The sequence below is a fragment of the Homo sapiens genome, chromosome 14, assembly GCF_000001405.40.
Source record: "Homo sapiens chromosome 14, GRCh38.p14 Primary Assembly".
Taxonomy (NCBI): Eukaryota; Metazoa; Chordata; class Mammalia; order Primates; family Hominidae; genus Homo; species Homo sapiens.
Genome location: NC_000014.9, coordinates 38,741,747 through 38,757,413, shown reverse-complemented (window position 1 = coordinate 38,757,413; position 15,667 = coordinate 38,741,747). Strand labels below are relative to the sequence as shown.

Here is a 15,667-nt window from a genome sequence, read left to right as displayed (position 1 = left end):
CCTTTCAGGATATTTTGTGAAGACAATCAAATTTTATATAGATAAATATATCTATATTTATATAGATAGATATACACATATCTATCTGTATCTATCCTAAAGGTGTCCTGTTTGACAGTATCTATATCTATATATAGATATATAGATATAGAGAGAATATAGATATACACACGTGTGTGTGTGTGTGTGTGTGTGTATATATATATATATATAGAGAGAGAGAGAGAGAGAGAGATGGGATCTCACTCTGTTGCTCAAGCTGGAGTGCAGTGGTGCAGTCATGGCTCACTGCAGCCTCTACCTCACCAGGCTCAAGTGATCCTCCCACTTCGGCCTCCCTAGTAGCTGGAATTACAGGTACATACCACCACGCCCATATTTTTATTTTTATATTTTTAGTAGAGAAGGGGCTTCACTATGTTGCTCAAGCTGGTCTCAACTCCTGAGCTCACGCAATCTGCCTGCCTTAGCCTTCTAAAGTGCTGGGATTACAAGTGTGAGCTGCTACACCCAGCCTAGTATTTTTAAATAAATGAATAAATAAGTCTATATTCCCCAAATCCTGAATTAGCCATTGCTAACACCATGGTGCATTAGTTTTCATTTTTGTAAAAATGATAAGCATGCATTACCAAAATCAATGCTGTAAAGTGGAAAAGCATTAAATCACATCTCCTAGAAATTCCCATTAGTAAACATCATTCTAAGTACGTTCCATGTACATTGATGAAAAGATGAATGATAGAAAAATAGAAATGCCTTTACAAAAATGAAGCCTTATTATTGATGATATTTTCAAATGAAGGGTATTTTATTAATTTTGCTAGAATTTAAAGGTGGAATAACAAATGAGTAAAATATCCTTCTAACACAGATATTTTATTTCTTAGATTCCCTATAAAAATGGGAAAAGAGAACTTTCAAAACACTAAAGATTAGAAATATTTAAAAAATCTTTGTTAACAGATATAATTACAATTCTCACAATTGTTTAAGATTGGTTTTATATTTAAGTTGATTCAAGCTCACTACCAGTCTCTTTATTAGAGTTTCTTTATTGTGAAGGTCTTTATATCTATTTATTTCCTAATTAACTGGATTTCACCATCATGTAAACTTTTTAAGAAATGCTCATAGCTACCGTATTACTTGTGTTATATTTTTGGGCTATACTTTCTTACTGAATTTGTATGTAGTGCTTCCTTATCTCTGTGATTTAATGTTACAGCAGCAACCTGATTTTTGTATGTGTGTGTTTGTGTGTGTGTATGAAGACGATTGCACCCTCTGCTGCCACACACTTTATTTACCTGATGCTGGAAGGGATTTTTTTTTGTTTTTTGAAGTTCATAACTTAATTGGAGTTGTCTTAGAGTTGATTGGTTTGTTTCTTAACTTCCCAGAACATAGTGTATTCTTTTAAATCTGAAGACACAGTTGTTTCTTTACTTTGGGGAAATTTTCTTGTATTATATCTCTGAGTGAATCTTCTGTTTCATTTGTTAGATGCCATTGTAACACATTATCCTTGTGTTAAGTGATTTATGTTTTCCATTTATATTGTCTTTTGCCAAATATCTTTAATCTTTTTTTCTATTAGAAGTCACTGTGATGTCTTATGCCTTTTTTCTATGTTAAATAATATGATTTTCACCAGTATCTATTCTGTTTCTTGTTTCAAATTTTAATCTCATTTTATTTATTAGCTGATCTTTGGGCTCTTTCTTTTTCTGTGTTGATATTAAGTTGTCCTGTGTTATGAAGCAACTAATTAGACCATTTTCTTTCTATTCTTTGAGTTGTATTTTTCTTTTTCTGGCTGTTGCAGTTATTTATTTATTTATTTATTTATTTATTTATTTTTGCTGTAATATGTTTGTAAAATGTTCATGCCATTTCTTTTTACCTTACTCAAGTTTGGGTGGCTCTGAGTGTAGCCTGTTTACTCTGATTGGTTATCAGAGTAACCTATTTATGCTGGGGTATGATAGACCTGATGTACTTGGATATGGTATGGGTGATGACTTGAGTGTCTTCACAAAATATCCTGAAAGGAATTCCTTCTTTTCCCCTCTTCAAGCTATAGTGAAAGGGATGGAATTTCATTCTCTCCACTTTCCTGTCATCTGAGAGAATGGCAAAGAAGGAGAGAACCCAACATTCTTAGCATACTTGGGCTCTGCTCTTTCTCTGCAGCATGTTAATGCCATAAACCAGAGCTTTCCTCACTTATCTGTAGGGAGTGTACCATGTTAGAGGCTTTGGGTAACTTTTACCGTATAATGAGTAGCCCTGAAGACTTTTCTTTCAAAAGAATGTTAGGCCCATTTCCAACTTTCCCGATTTCACTTGTTTTCCCTCAGCAGCGGTTTCCATTATATTTCAGTAGAAAAAGGAAGTAGATAAGAGTATCCCTTCTGCTTTCTTCTCTCCAAATTTGCTGTTGCAGTGAGGTTATGCCACTACCTGGCATGTCCCTTTTGCTCTAGTAAATGCAGACTCCAAACATCTTTCAGGAAACTGCTGCCACGTTGTCTTATTTTCTCTATGCCTCTACAAATTTTGTTTGCTCTGCCTGGAATGTTCTCTCTCTTCTTCTTTCTATTCTCTCTTTTTCCATTCCCTTTCTTTCCAGGGAACTTTTACTTATGTCTAAAGATGCAGTTCAAAAGCAGCCATTTCCTTGAAATGTAAGGACTTCTTCTGGGTTCCCATAAAGTTAATATATGGATTATATCACATTGCTATGATTATTTATTTGCATATTCTTTTCTGTTCTAAACTCTAATCTATCTCTCCCTACTGAAAATATACTTAATAATTATTTGTGGAGTAGGTAAATGATTATCTAGCCAAACATCTAATAAAATGGAATATTTTCTGAGGTCTTAGGTGTTGAAATACACATTTAAAAAACTAACTGCAAATGCAAACTACTTAGTTTATTGGGCATGATTCTCAGTCTCCAGCTTCACATCCCAGTTGCCTTGAACACGTATTTATTTTGCACATCTGGGTGTGGTAGATCTGATCTCTAAAAATAAAGAGGTTAATAGGTAGAAAACATATTTTTTCATTATTCTTTCCTTGTTTTTTAGAATGATTGTTGTTTTTTCAATCAGTATTTTCAGAGTACCTGAAATAATACCTCCTGATTCCAGGATCTTCAGGGCAAATATTTGTGATTAGCTTGGCTTGGACAAAATGCTTGCTCTCTAATCATTGTGAGAAAATGTCTTTGGATAATGAAGGAACCCTGTGTCTCCTCCATAACCCTACCTCACCATATGTGAAAATGTATACTTCCATTTCTTTTCCTAAGAACAATATAATTAAATATTTCTTTTCTTTATTTTCTGAAATTGCTCACTGGGATTTTTCTCAAGTAACTATAACCAAAAAAAGGATACAAGAAACAGTGACTGAAATTATTTCCTATGGTGCCTTTTGGCTATCAGAGAAGAATGTAAATAAAAAATACAGTTAAACAGAGATCCTCAGTAAATGGAATAAAGTAATGCTCAGCTTAGATTAGGGAATAGTTTTAAATCAAAACAGCCATTTACATCGTCCTGTAATGTGCAATAATGTCAGACTATGAAAGACACTAACCACCTGAAGTTTGTGACAAATGGAAAATTAGGATAAAGGTTTATTTCTTTCAATTTAAAAGTTCTTGTAGCTTTGATGACACTATTGAATGTTTGTCTATCAAATGGTAAGTGAGCTTCATTTAAAACGTCTCACCTAGATCAATGCTAACAGATATTATTGTACGATGTAATTAGATAAAAACTAAAAAAAACTGAGAAAGCGTTCACAGAACGTCAATAAAAATCTGATTTATTTATATTATTTACATAAAAAGGCTAGGTCAAGAACACATATTAGAATAAAATTGTCTTTCCCAAAGTAAAATGAATAGACCTGTTGTTATCTTTATATGATTAATGTAGTAAAAATTAGCCTAGGAGTTTGAGTTATAAATTTTGATTGCTGTGTAGATTAAATTAGTAATTACCAAACTTAATTCAAATTCTCAAATCTTTTGGATTATGAAGAAATAGCCTCAGATCAAAGTGGGTAAATATTTTGATTAAGCAGTTACTCTAATAGTATCTTAAGCAATTTTCTCCAAATAGTATACAACAATACTTGAGACTCTTATTCTTTTCTTATAATGTACTATGTCTTAAGTGATCCACTCAACATTATAACTCTGGAACATTTCTTTATAAACATCATTTTGGGCTACCTTTAGAATAAAATGAGGCAAGACTGATGCATAAGTTCACTTCCTTGTCATGTTTTGGCTGTGAAATAATGTGCTGCTTGATATTCAACCCACTATTTACATTTCAATCTTCGGGATCCCGTAAGACTCAACAATGGCTCTCGTTTCTCTAGGACTTTCTCAGGCTAGTTCTAGAAAATTATTTACAGTAGGAGTTTCTGCTGACTAATAACTGCACTGTCAGTAACAGATAGCATGAAGATGATCTGGCAAGTCTTTAAGTAGCCTATATTGGTAGTGTAGTAAAATGCCATTTGGTGCCATTCAAGTAAATTTTTATTTGGAGATCTGATTTTTCAACATTTTGTCCATTCACCTTACTAGTTTAGTGCTACTTCTGCCTATTGTCAAAAGGGTCCCTTGCTTTTTTATGTTGTCATGTTCAATTTACTGAATAGTTTTTGGCTTGTAATTTAACCATTTTTGGAAATAAAAAATAGTATCTCCCTGTAGAAACAATATGAAACTAAAGAAACCCACTGGGCCTTAAAAAGTTTCCTTGATCCTCAACACTGTGCTCCCAGATGGATGTCACATTACTTATCCAGAATGTGTCGTTTGCTTCTCAAATCTGATTTATATATCTGTGGAAGTTGGGCATGTTCCCACTGCTACTGTGAATAGTAAGTTTTGAAAATTTAGCCAATAGCATCAAGCTGTTTGGTTATATAAGCAAGGATAAAAAGATACTTTGAAACAAATAAGCTTTTTTTATTATCACATTAAATATGTATGTTGTAACATAAAATATCTCAAGGTTTTACAATGTACATGCACGAGGCCCTGAAGATGTCTCTTTATAGTACAGAACCTCATAAACTGTTCATCTGACCAGGAATATCCATCTTCCCTTTGTGGTCTGGGGAGAGAACTGAGTGTAAGGCCATGTATAATGCAAACAGTTCTTTCCACAAGGCATTGCTCTCTGAAATAGTTCATCCTAATGGCTACCCTCATTTATGTAGTCACCGTACTTTTTTTGATGGATGGTGATGATGCTGAGAGATGCTCTGAGAAAGATGAGACACTGTGGCAGAGTAGTTTAACAAATGTAGAAACTTCCTCTGCATCACAGAATGGATGCTGGATTCAGGCTATGACTCCGTGTTCAGATCAATCTGCATGTTTTGATTGATTTGTCCAGTGGAACTGAAAAATTACCCCCATCCCCACACATTAAAACAAAAAGCTCTCCTTTTAAAAGAGTTATGTCTAGAAATACTGCTTTCTTTGTGTGTTTATATAGAACCTTGGCCTACGAAGGATATCAAACACTGTTTTTGTTTCTTTACAGCAATCTATGCATAAAAATGCTTTATAGGTATTTTAATTTATAGATCAGGTAAAATTTGACTCATCAACAGTTCAATAATGCTACTTTTAATTAGCTTAAACTAAAAATTTTAGTTATAGATAATGGGAATAGGTAAACAGTATCATAAATTGCTTATGTCACCATATTACCTGCTACTACTTGTTGCAAGTTATAATCACATGAAAGAGGACAGTGTCTACCTGTCTGATTTTGCTAAAGCACTGGAAAAGGGTTAAATAGAATGAAAGTCATCACTTTCTCCTGAAAGTTGGACTAATTCTAATCTTTGATGAGTCTAATTTTATGATGATTCATAGATGGAGGTAAAGCAAGAATATAAACTGGAAAAAAAATAATACTGGACCACATGTGTAAGAAAACACTCAAGAGAAAAATGTTTATCTATTGACGCTTTTTCTAAATAATTTCTGACAACCAACTTAACCAATTACTTACCTCCTTCCCTGGACATCAGCCCCAGCAACATAGTTGACTAAAGTTGAACAATTGTTTTGCTAAATAAACATTGTTAAAAAGTTAATGTTGGAGAAAAAAAGAAGTAATTCCAGTCAATGTCAATACTTTTATTTACATATAAATGCATTTATAAACAACATATAGCATTTTTTCTGTGCTTTGAAAGTACAAAAAAAGCATACATACTTATTTTTCATCAGTATTATGTTAAGATTTGTGCTCATCGATGTAAATTACTTTTAATCTTTCTTAAATGAAAAAAAAGTTTTTAAAAGAGTTAGTGCTGCTTTTCTGGAAATGAGGTGCCAAAATTCCTATCTAATTCTAACAGTAACTGTCTCATCGTCTCTGTAATAAAATAATTGCTCAGTTCAGTCAACTCATTGGAGAAAACAGTCAAACTATTTCAAAGAAGCAGATAAAAACCTGCAGCAGGCCTTGACATTCTGTACAAAGAGCAAATCTGCGTACCTCCTGCAGTTCCCACTTCTCCAGGACCCTGAGTTCTCTTTCTTCTAACTTCCTACTGAGGCTTCGTCACTCAATATCTGTCACTGGTCTAATCTGTTCCTTTTCCTTCTTTGACCAACACTGTGGTTTAGATTTGCTTTACAACCTCATCACCATGGCGAGAGTTCTTCCTGTTCTGTCCTGTAATTTGGGACTCAGAGCAGGCCCAGAAACTCCTGGGCTTCTCCTGCTCCTGCTATTCCCACCCCTTTCCCCCCTTTGAATTCTTAGCCGAATATATAAGTACCAGTGACAGTTTTACAATAATTGCTGCCAAGGTTATTTGGATATGGAAATCTTAATATTTCTCTCTTTCTTATCAATTCCTCAATGGATAGTAACTTCGAGTGAGCATTTCTGCATGTGAAAATCAAACCGAGAGAAAGAAAGAAGCAGATAAATTAGATGTGTGTAAAGTACCTAACACAGTCCTTGTCATGTAGAAAGCTCTCAACAAATGGAAGTTATGAGTATCTAAACATAATTAAATGGTAGAGCTTATTTTCAAGTTTTGCTTATTTTTATATGTAAAGCTTGGATTTAGGCTAATAAAAATCAGGAAATTTGTTTAGGCTAATAAAGAACAGGGAACTGCGTTCTTATTCACTGCTCTTTCTTTCCTTATTATTGGAAGTGATCCAGAGGCCTAAGAGTATTTCCATGCCAAGTTCAAGAGGGCAGAGGGCAGAGAGGAGTGAGAGGCGGGGCAAGAAGTGGGGAAGGACTTGACTATGTACCTGCAAATACCTAGCAGGTCCCATGGAGATGAAAGTCGCTGATGGCAGCTGCTGTATAGAGAAGAGAAAAAATTGTTGGAAAAAGGACAGGGAAAATATGTTCTTGATTTCTTATAAAAAATGTATGAGAGATAGAAAATATACTGTAAATACAATACTTTAACTCATATTCTATGACTTATTTTTTTAAAGAACAAATATTATCTGGAACTAAGTAAAAAAAGAATTCATTTTCATAACTATCACAAAATTTTGCTATAATTGCATACTTTCTGAGTGACCTTTAAGATATGATAATGTTTGAAGTTGGCTTTCCTACTGGATGAGTTGCAACTGTAAGGCAATAGTTATAATAGCTCAGGTCACAGGTGGAATAACTGAATGTCATTAACAATGACATTTGATTATGTTTCTTCATTTTTTCAGATTATATGTCAAGTTCTGTGTGAAATGAGAGACCATGGGGATTCATTATTGCTGGAGTTGACGGTATTGCAGTTTTATAACCATCTAATAAATTAGCATTTAATACTGAGAGATTTCATCTTAAACTCAGAGGATTGCTTTGTTTTAAAGAAGATTTTTGCAAGGAGAAGCAATGGAAACCATTCAGAAAATGTGGGAGATAAAAATCCTATTCAAGAAAACGGATCTTGGATCTTTGCATTCACTTGATTTGTCAGAATATTATTCTGTGCTAAAAAATAGAAGGGATTAAATGTTAAAAATCACTGAGGCACAATTCTCTTGAGTTCACCAATTTTGTACTCCTATTTCCAGTTTCTTTTCACATACGTCATTCTCCATCCTGATTAAGCTTGTTCTTTCTGAGCTCATTTCTGATACCAAAAGAAGTCATAAAGTTCTATAAGATTAAGAATTCTCTTAGAAGTACAGATTTGCATGAACGTCAAAGAAAAAAATATCACATTTTACTCCCATATGCTTTAATGATTATTTTATTAGGTCAGGCATGGCTTAGGTTAGAACCTTTGTGGTTTTTTTTTTTTTTAAATTCCATTTAGTTAAATGTTGACACAATATTTTTGGAATTCTATATTTTGACTTTTCCGTTAACCTAGGTCTGTTTTGGAGTGGGGAAGAGGGTAGGTCATCATTTCTATTTAAAATGGGAATTGGCTAGGCGTGGTGGCTCACGCCTGTAATCCCAGCACTTTGGGAGGCTGAAGCGGGTGGATCACGAGGTCAGGAGATCGAGACCATCGTGGCTAACACGGTGAAAACCCGTCTCTACTAAAAATACGAAAAAAATTAGCCGGGCATGGTGGTGGGCGCCTGTAGTCCCAGCTACTCGGGAGGCTGAGGCGGGAGAATGGCGTCAACCCGGGAAGCAGAGCTTGCAGTGAGCCAAGATTGTGCCACTGCACTCCAGCCTGGGCGACAGAGCGAGACTCCATCTTAAAAATAAAATAAAATAAAAAATAAAAGTGGCGATAATTAAAAAGTCAGGAAACAACAGGTGCTGGAGAGGATGTGGAGAAATAGGAACACTTTTACACTGTTGGTGGGACTGTAAACTAGTTCAACCATTGTGGAAGACACTGTGGTGATTCCTCAAGGGTCTAGAACTAGAAATACCATTTGATCCAGCCATCCCATTACTGGGTATATACCCAAAGGATTATAAATCATGCTGCTATACAGACACATGCACACGTATGTTTATTGCGGCACTATTCACAATAGCAAAGACCTGAAACCAACCCAAATGTCCATCAATGATAGACTGGATTAGGAAAATGTGGTGCATATACACCATGGAATACTATGCAGCCATAAAAAAGGATGAGTTCGTGTCCTTTGTAGGGACATGGATGAAGCTGGAAACCATCATTCTCAGCAAACTATCGCAAGGACAAAAAACCAAACACCGCATGTTCTCACTCATAGGTGGGAATTGAACAATGAGAACACTTGGGCACATGGTGGGGAAGGAACATCCCACACCGGGGCCTGTTGTGGGGTAGGGGGGAGCGGGGAGGGATAGCATTAGGAGATATACCTAATGTAAATGACGAGTTACTGGGTACAGCACACCAACATGGCACGTGTATACATATCTAACAAACCTGCACGTTGTGCACATGTAACCTAGAACTCAAAGTATAATAATAATAAAAAAATAAAAAATAAAATAAAAAAATGGGAATCAATTGCAAATGGCTAGAGTATGTGTGTGTATCTGTCGCTCGCTCTGTGTGTGTGCGCATGTGTTTGTGTGTGTGCATGTTTTCGTGTGTGTGTGTGGGCATTGAGAATACCAACAAGTGGCTATAATGAGGGTTTGTAGTTCATCCTTGATGAAATGTATATAATTTCTAATTTTATAGAGGTAATTATAGAATACTTGGCATTATTGTTAAATCTATTTCTTTAATATAGAACAATGTGTTTCTCAATTCTTTACTAGTAATTAGTTTCCTTTAGGAAAAAATAAAGGACAGAAATTAGTGTCATCAAAAGTACAGATGAATATATAATGTGACATTTTACATTTTATTTATTGACATTTAGTCCTCTGAAAAGTGTCTAGGCCTGATTAATTTGCTATTAAATGAAAAATGGGCTGTTTTCAAAATAGCTACAACATTGTATTGCACTGACATGACTTCATGCTTGTCTTATCAACAGCAAGAGATATTAGGAGGATTCATAATGCACATGGAAATGTCAACTATGGTATTCTGATGTTTCAATGAATGTTTGCTACTTGAATCATTGTTCAGTGGTTGCTTTTAGTTCAGGATTACATCTTTAACAAATTTGATAAAAGCTCCTTATAGTTGGGGGCTATGGGGTTTGATATATTTGGAATACTTGTCTGGTCATCCACATTTTTTATTTTTATGGCAAGTAGATTCAGTGCCATTATTAGTTTGCCACTATATTCAAATCAGTTAATTATGTTGCTTTCAAAAGAATTTTAAAAGATAATATAAAGTTAGTTATGTTTATAGCTATATGAAGCCATGCTTTCAAGCGTGTTGCTGTTTGATCCTGAGTGACTAACACCAAATAAAAGTGAAGGTGATTCTGAAGTAAAAGCATAATAGGTGTTATGAGTGGCCTAGGTGGCTACTTGGTAGATGCCTCTAAAACATTCACATTTGTGTCAGTGGGCATTTTTGAAGCAACTGAAAGCTGGGATGACATGATAAGAATATGTACTACAGCTGTGCACTTTGGTGGCGGGAACATTGTTGTCTTCACTTCTTAGATATCTCTATAGCCCAACAGATACTAAAATGTAGACGCTATTATATATGTTTACAATGTTTTGAATTTTTTTCATTTGAAATCCTATTTTTTTTAACAATTCAGGGAGAAAGGGAGAAAAACATCGACAAACTAAAGGAGTGACACTTGATCCAAATATTGGTTATATATATGGTGTTTTAGATATATATAATATATACTTTTCTGTAAATGAACATTTATTGCACAAATCTTTCTGTATGAAGGTAAAGTAATAGATCTATTTGAAACAAAAATATGTTTAACATTTTGCCACAATTTCTTTCTATTTATCTAATTTGTGGCTGCATCATTTGAATGTAAGTTGTAGATATCATGAATCTCCACCTGTAAATACTTCAACATCTGACTTATATACCATAATATCATTGTCACACCTTAGATGATCAATAATAACTCAACAATATTATCTAATATACATTTATATTCACATTTTTGTAATTATCCCCAGAATGTTTTTGAGAGCTGAAACAAATGTTTTCATATATTTTGTCAAGTGAATCAAGTTCTCATATCAATATGCCATAATTATATTTTCTTGAAATAGTCATTGGCCATTGAATAGGTTTGGGTTTCCATGGCCCCAAGCTGCCAACTGAACCCACTAGAGTAATTTGCTGGAATGAGAAATGCTAACTGCCAAAACCAAAGAATGTTAATCAGCAACCAGCCTGACTGTGATTTCCAACGTGCTAATCACTTGGAAAAATTGCCTCTCATTGGCTCAGTCTATAGATAATTACTAATTGAAAAACAGCTAGAATGAGAAGGTATATTAGCATGTTAATAGGTCTTTGTGCCCAGAGGCTTTGGATTATAAATTATGAAGACTGCATTAGCCAGATGGGCAGGATTAATTAGCATGCTAGTATTACCTGGCATCCTATGGTGGTTGAGAATAAACAGTGACCATAACCATTTCAGCATAGTTTGCTATTAAATTGCTTGTTTTTGGTAGCTCGGAATAGAGTTTTATTCTGTAGTTAGAACACTAACCAAGAATCAGTAATTCTGGATGCTAATAACTAGCAAAGCATTTAGTCCTTTTGTACTTTGGCTAAAATCAATCTTCCATGTACTCAATTTCCATCTCTACTAAATGAAAGCTTTATGACAGAGAAAAAAGAACTAGCACTGGGATTCCAGAAGCTTATATTCTAATCTTGATATTGGACAACTCATTTAATCTCTTCATGCCTCAGTTTCCTCATCTGTAACATAAAAAAGGCTTAACTGGAAATTCTCTAACATCCTTTCCAGCTTTGAGATTTTATGGAACAATGTAGACTCATGCCCAGTAACAGATCTGGAGAGGAGAAACAGGCTAAAAGCCAATATGTTTCACAAGAGCAACTGAAACCAATATTTCAAATGAAGGTAATACCTATAAAGAAACATACCAGGGATGACTTTATATTTCCCAAATCATGCAGACTGCCTTATTGACTTCCTATTTGGATACCTTCCAAGGTAAGTAGGTGATTGTTTTGTTTGTTCTTTTCTAGAACTGACTCGTACACAGGTACTGTAAGAATCCTGGGAAGTGGAAAGAGATTCCAATCTCACCTCATCAGGGAGCATCGAATGCTCTCTTAAGCTCAATAGGAAGAAGTGAGGCTACTTTCAGATTTCTCTATCCCAATGGCTTCAATTGTACTAAGGTAAAAACTATTTGACAGAGTGTAATTTTTCTGCAGTTGTGACATGAACAGTCCAGTTTGTGTCAAAAGAATACTTCCCTCAATGAGAATGTGGTTTTGATTAGAGATATTTCTAGTATTAAACATAACATAATAGCTAACATTTAATGAGCTCTTACTATTTGACATGGAACTAAGTGTTTTCCAAGGATTATTATTATTATAATGAATCCTCACAAATATTATGACATTGGATTTTCAATAGCCTCATCTAATAGACACTCAACTAAGGTAAGGGACAGAGCTGGGATTTAAACCTGGGGCATGCTCTGTTTTTTCTGGTGCTGTGTCTCAAGTTACAGAGGCTTGAGGTCTTTTCTAAGTAATACCTATAGCTCCTTGTCTCCCAGAAGAGACCTATTATTTAGGGAATCCTTAAAGCTTTTGTCTTGCCTGCTTGCGACTACTTCTATTGCTTGCAGCATATTCCTCAGCAACTTCATGGTTTTCTGGGCAGAGTGTTGGAAATTATGTGGTAGGATGGATTTAAGAGTTGAAGGGTTGTTTACTGATATGATTTGGCTCTGTGTCCCCATCCAAATCTCATCTTGAATTGTAATCCCCAGGTGTTGAGGGAGGGACCAGCTGGGAGGTGATTGGATCATGGGGGTGGTTTCCCCCACACTGTTCTCGTGATAGTGAGTGAGTTCTCAAGAGATCTCATGGTTTTATAAGGGGGTGGGGGCGGCTCTTCCCCTTTCACTTACTCACTCCCTCTTGCCATCTTGTGAAGAAGGTGTCTGCTTCCCCTTCGCCTTCCACTATGATTGTAAGTTTCCTGTAAGAGGCCTCCCCAGCCATGCAGAACTGTGAGTCAATTAAACCTCCTTCCTTTATAAATTACCCAGTCTCAGACGGTATTCTACAGCAGTGTGAAAATGGGCTAATACTGTTACCAAGGTCTATTCTAGTTCTGCACGTCTTCAACCCACCTGCCGCTCATAGCGTAGATTTGGGTTGTGATAAGCAGTACTTTAGTGCTGGCAGTTAGCCTCATTTCAGGGTGATGCCTCTCACCTGTCACTTTGATGGTTAACATTTAGTAGGTGGAGTTGATAAAGCATGTTCCAGAATAAAGTGTGTTGACATGTTAACTTCTATAGAAGGTCACAATGAGAAAAGAGACATCTCTGCTTATGACCTTTGTTTGGTCAGAAGCTCAATGCCATCCTCCTGCCATGTATTGTTGGCTGCCCAGAGTACCTTTCCCTCCACCTGGTTGAACAATGACTCACTAGGCAGCATGACACTTAAGTAGCAAAACTCCATTAAGCTTTCAGTTTTATTTTAAAGACTTCTCAATCAAAATTAATCTAATCATCTAAAAGACTGAAGGAAACTTAAGAATTATATTTAAAGAACTATTTTGATATTATATTACTGGTATGTCTATAAAATACACAATACTGCACTGTTCATTTTCAAAGTGCCCTGGGATCTGTCCCCAAAATGGCTCTGCTTCCATTGCTGTATAACACTGATAACCTGATTAATTATTAGTGGTAATAATAATACTAATAATTAACATTTATCAAATATCTCCTGTGTGTCAGGCACTGAGCCAACTGTTTCATGGGTATTGTGTCCATTATGTCACTCAACCTTCTAACAACCTGATTAAATACTAATATTATCCTCATTTTTAAAAATAAAATTTCTTTTTAAAAGAAGAATAAACTATCAAAGCACTATACACATATGCTGAACAGTAAAGAACTTACAGTGAAAAGCACCCTTTCATGCTGCTTCTCTCTACCCTAAGTTCTACCCCCTCTACCCAGAAGAAACCCTTTTAATTATTTCTAATTCTTTGGGTATTTATCTTCAAAACTCTAGATATATGCTAATACTCCTGCTTAATGAATTTACTTGACTCTCTCTCGTATTATTCCATTTATATGAAATGTCCAGAATATGCAAATTCATAGAGACAGAAAGCAGATTCCTGGTTGCCAGGGTGCTGGGATGTGGGGGAATGAAGAGTGACTGCCTGTCTACTCAATGGGTATGAGGTTCCTTTTAGGGGAGATGAAAATGCTCTAAAATTAGATAATGGCAATGGTTATACAACATCGTGAATGCACTAAAAGCTACTGAACTGTAGTATTTAAAATGGCTAAAATAGTGAATTTTATGTGATATCAATTTTTCTTCAATAAAACATGAGACGTCTCTCTGGTTAGAAAGTCACCTACATTACTGTTTTACATATCAATGTTTCATATTTATATTTTTATTTTTAATTCTTTTTATCCCTTTTTTATTTATTTTTAATCTGATTTTTATCCGCAAAGCAACAAATAAATGTCACTATTATTTTTAAATTTAATGTATGTGTTTATAACAAAAACATAATTGTACATATTTTGGGGTACAACGTGATGTTTCAATGCATGTATACGTAGTATAATAATCAAATCAGAATGATTATTATACCCATCACTATAAACATTTATCATTTCTTTGAGATGACAACATTCAAAATCTTCTCACTACCTTGAAATATACACTGCATTATTTGCTATAGTCACCCTACTGTGTAATAGAACACCAAAACTTATTTCTCCTGTCTAACTGTAACTTTGTACCAATTGACCAACCTCTCCTGGTATTCCTTCCTGCTTTTCCTCCTCAACCACTGGTAACCATTATTCTCTCTCTCTCTATGAAATCAACTTTTTTAGATTCCACATGTGAGATCACATGATGTTTGTCTTTCTGTGTCTGGCTTATTTCACTAACACAATTACCTCCAGGTTCATTCATGATGCCACGGATGACAGGATTTCATTCTATTTTATGGTTGAATATTATTTCTTTTTAGAGTTCAGGAAATCGAGGTAAAAAAGGCCAACTTTCCAAGATCACATAAATAGTAAACCTTGCATTTGATCCTATGTAGTCTAACTCCACAGACCACACGCGTAACCACTATTCAACACTTCCCTCCAAGATGACAATTTTGGTGGCTGGAATTATGTATGTGAAAAGGCAATTAGACCTTTGAATAATCTTTCAGTTGTCTATAGACAGAAAATTCCTCTCATACATGTGAACTTTTGCTTTAAAAATGCTATTGCATTATAACACCATGATCACCCAAATTATCATTAGACATTATATGCCTTACTACGCATGCAAATAGGAGTCTACTAACGATTGAAGAAATTCTATTAGGGATTTACAAAAGTAGAACCAATCCAGTTTGGTGCATGAAGGGTTACAACAGCTTCTTTCTAATGTATCTTTAAAAATGTGATTTTGGAATTAAGCAGCTACCAGTTACTGTTACATTTATGCATGACCCTTGACTACTAATAGTATGAGCCAACTGTATTCTATTAGTGATCTTAGCAGC

The 15,667-nt window shown here is 35.0% G+C and overlaps 1 long non-coding RNA gene across 1 annotated transcript in view; it reads left to right on the top strand.

The window, feature by feature from the left end:
- The window catches only part of LINC00639 (long intergenic non-protein coding RNA 639), a 167,544-nt gene extending 159,469 nt beyond the window's left edge, over positions 1 to 8,075 (top strand). Inside the window, exon 5 of the long non-coding RNA NR_039982.1 lies at positions 7,760 to 8,075. This is a non-coding gene — a long non-coding RNA (long intergenic non-protein coding RNA 639). The remainder of the gene's footprint in view (positions 1 to 7,759) is intronic.
- Positions 8,076 to 15,667: the final 7,592 nt, after the last annotated feature.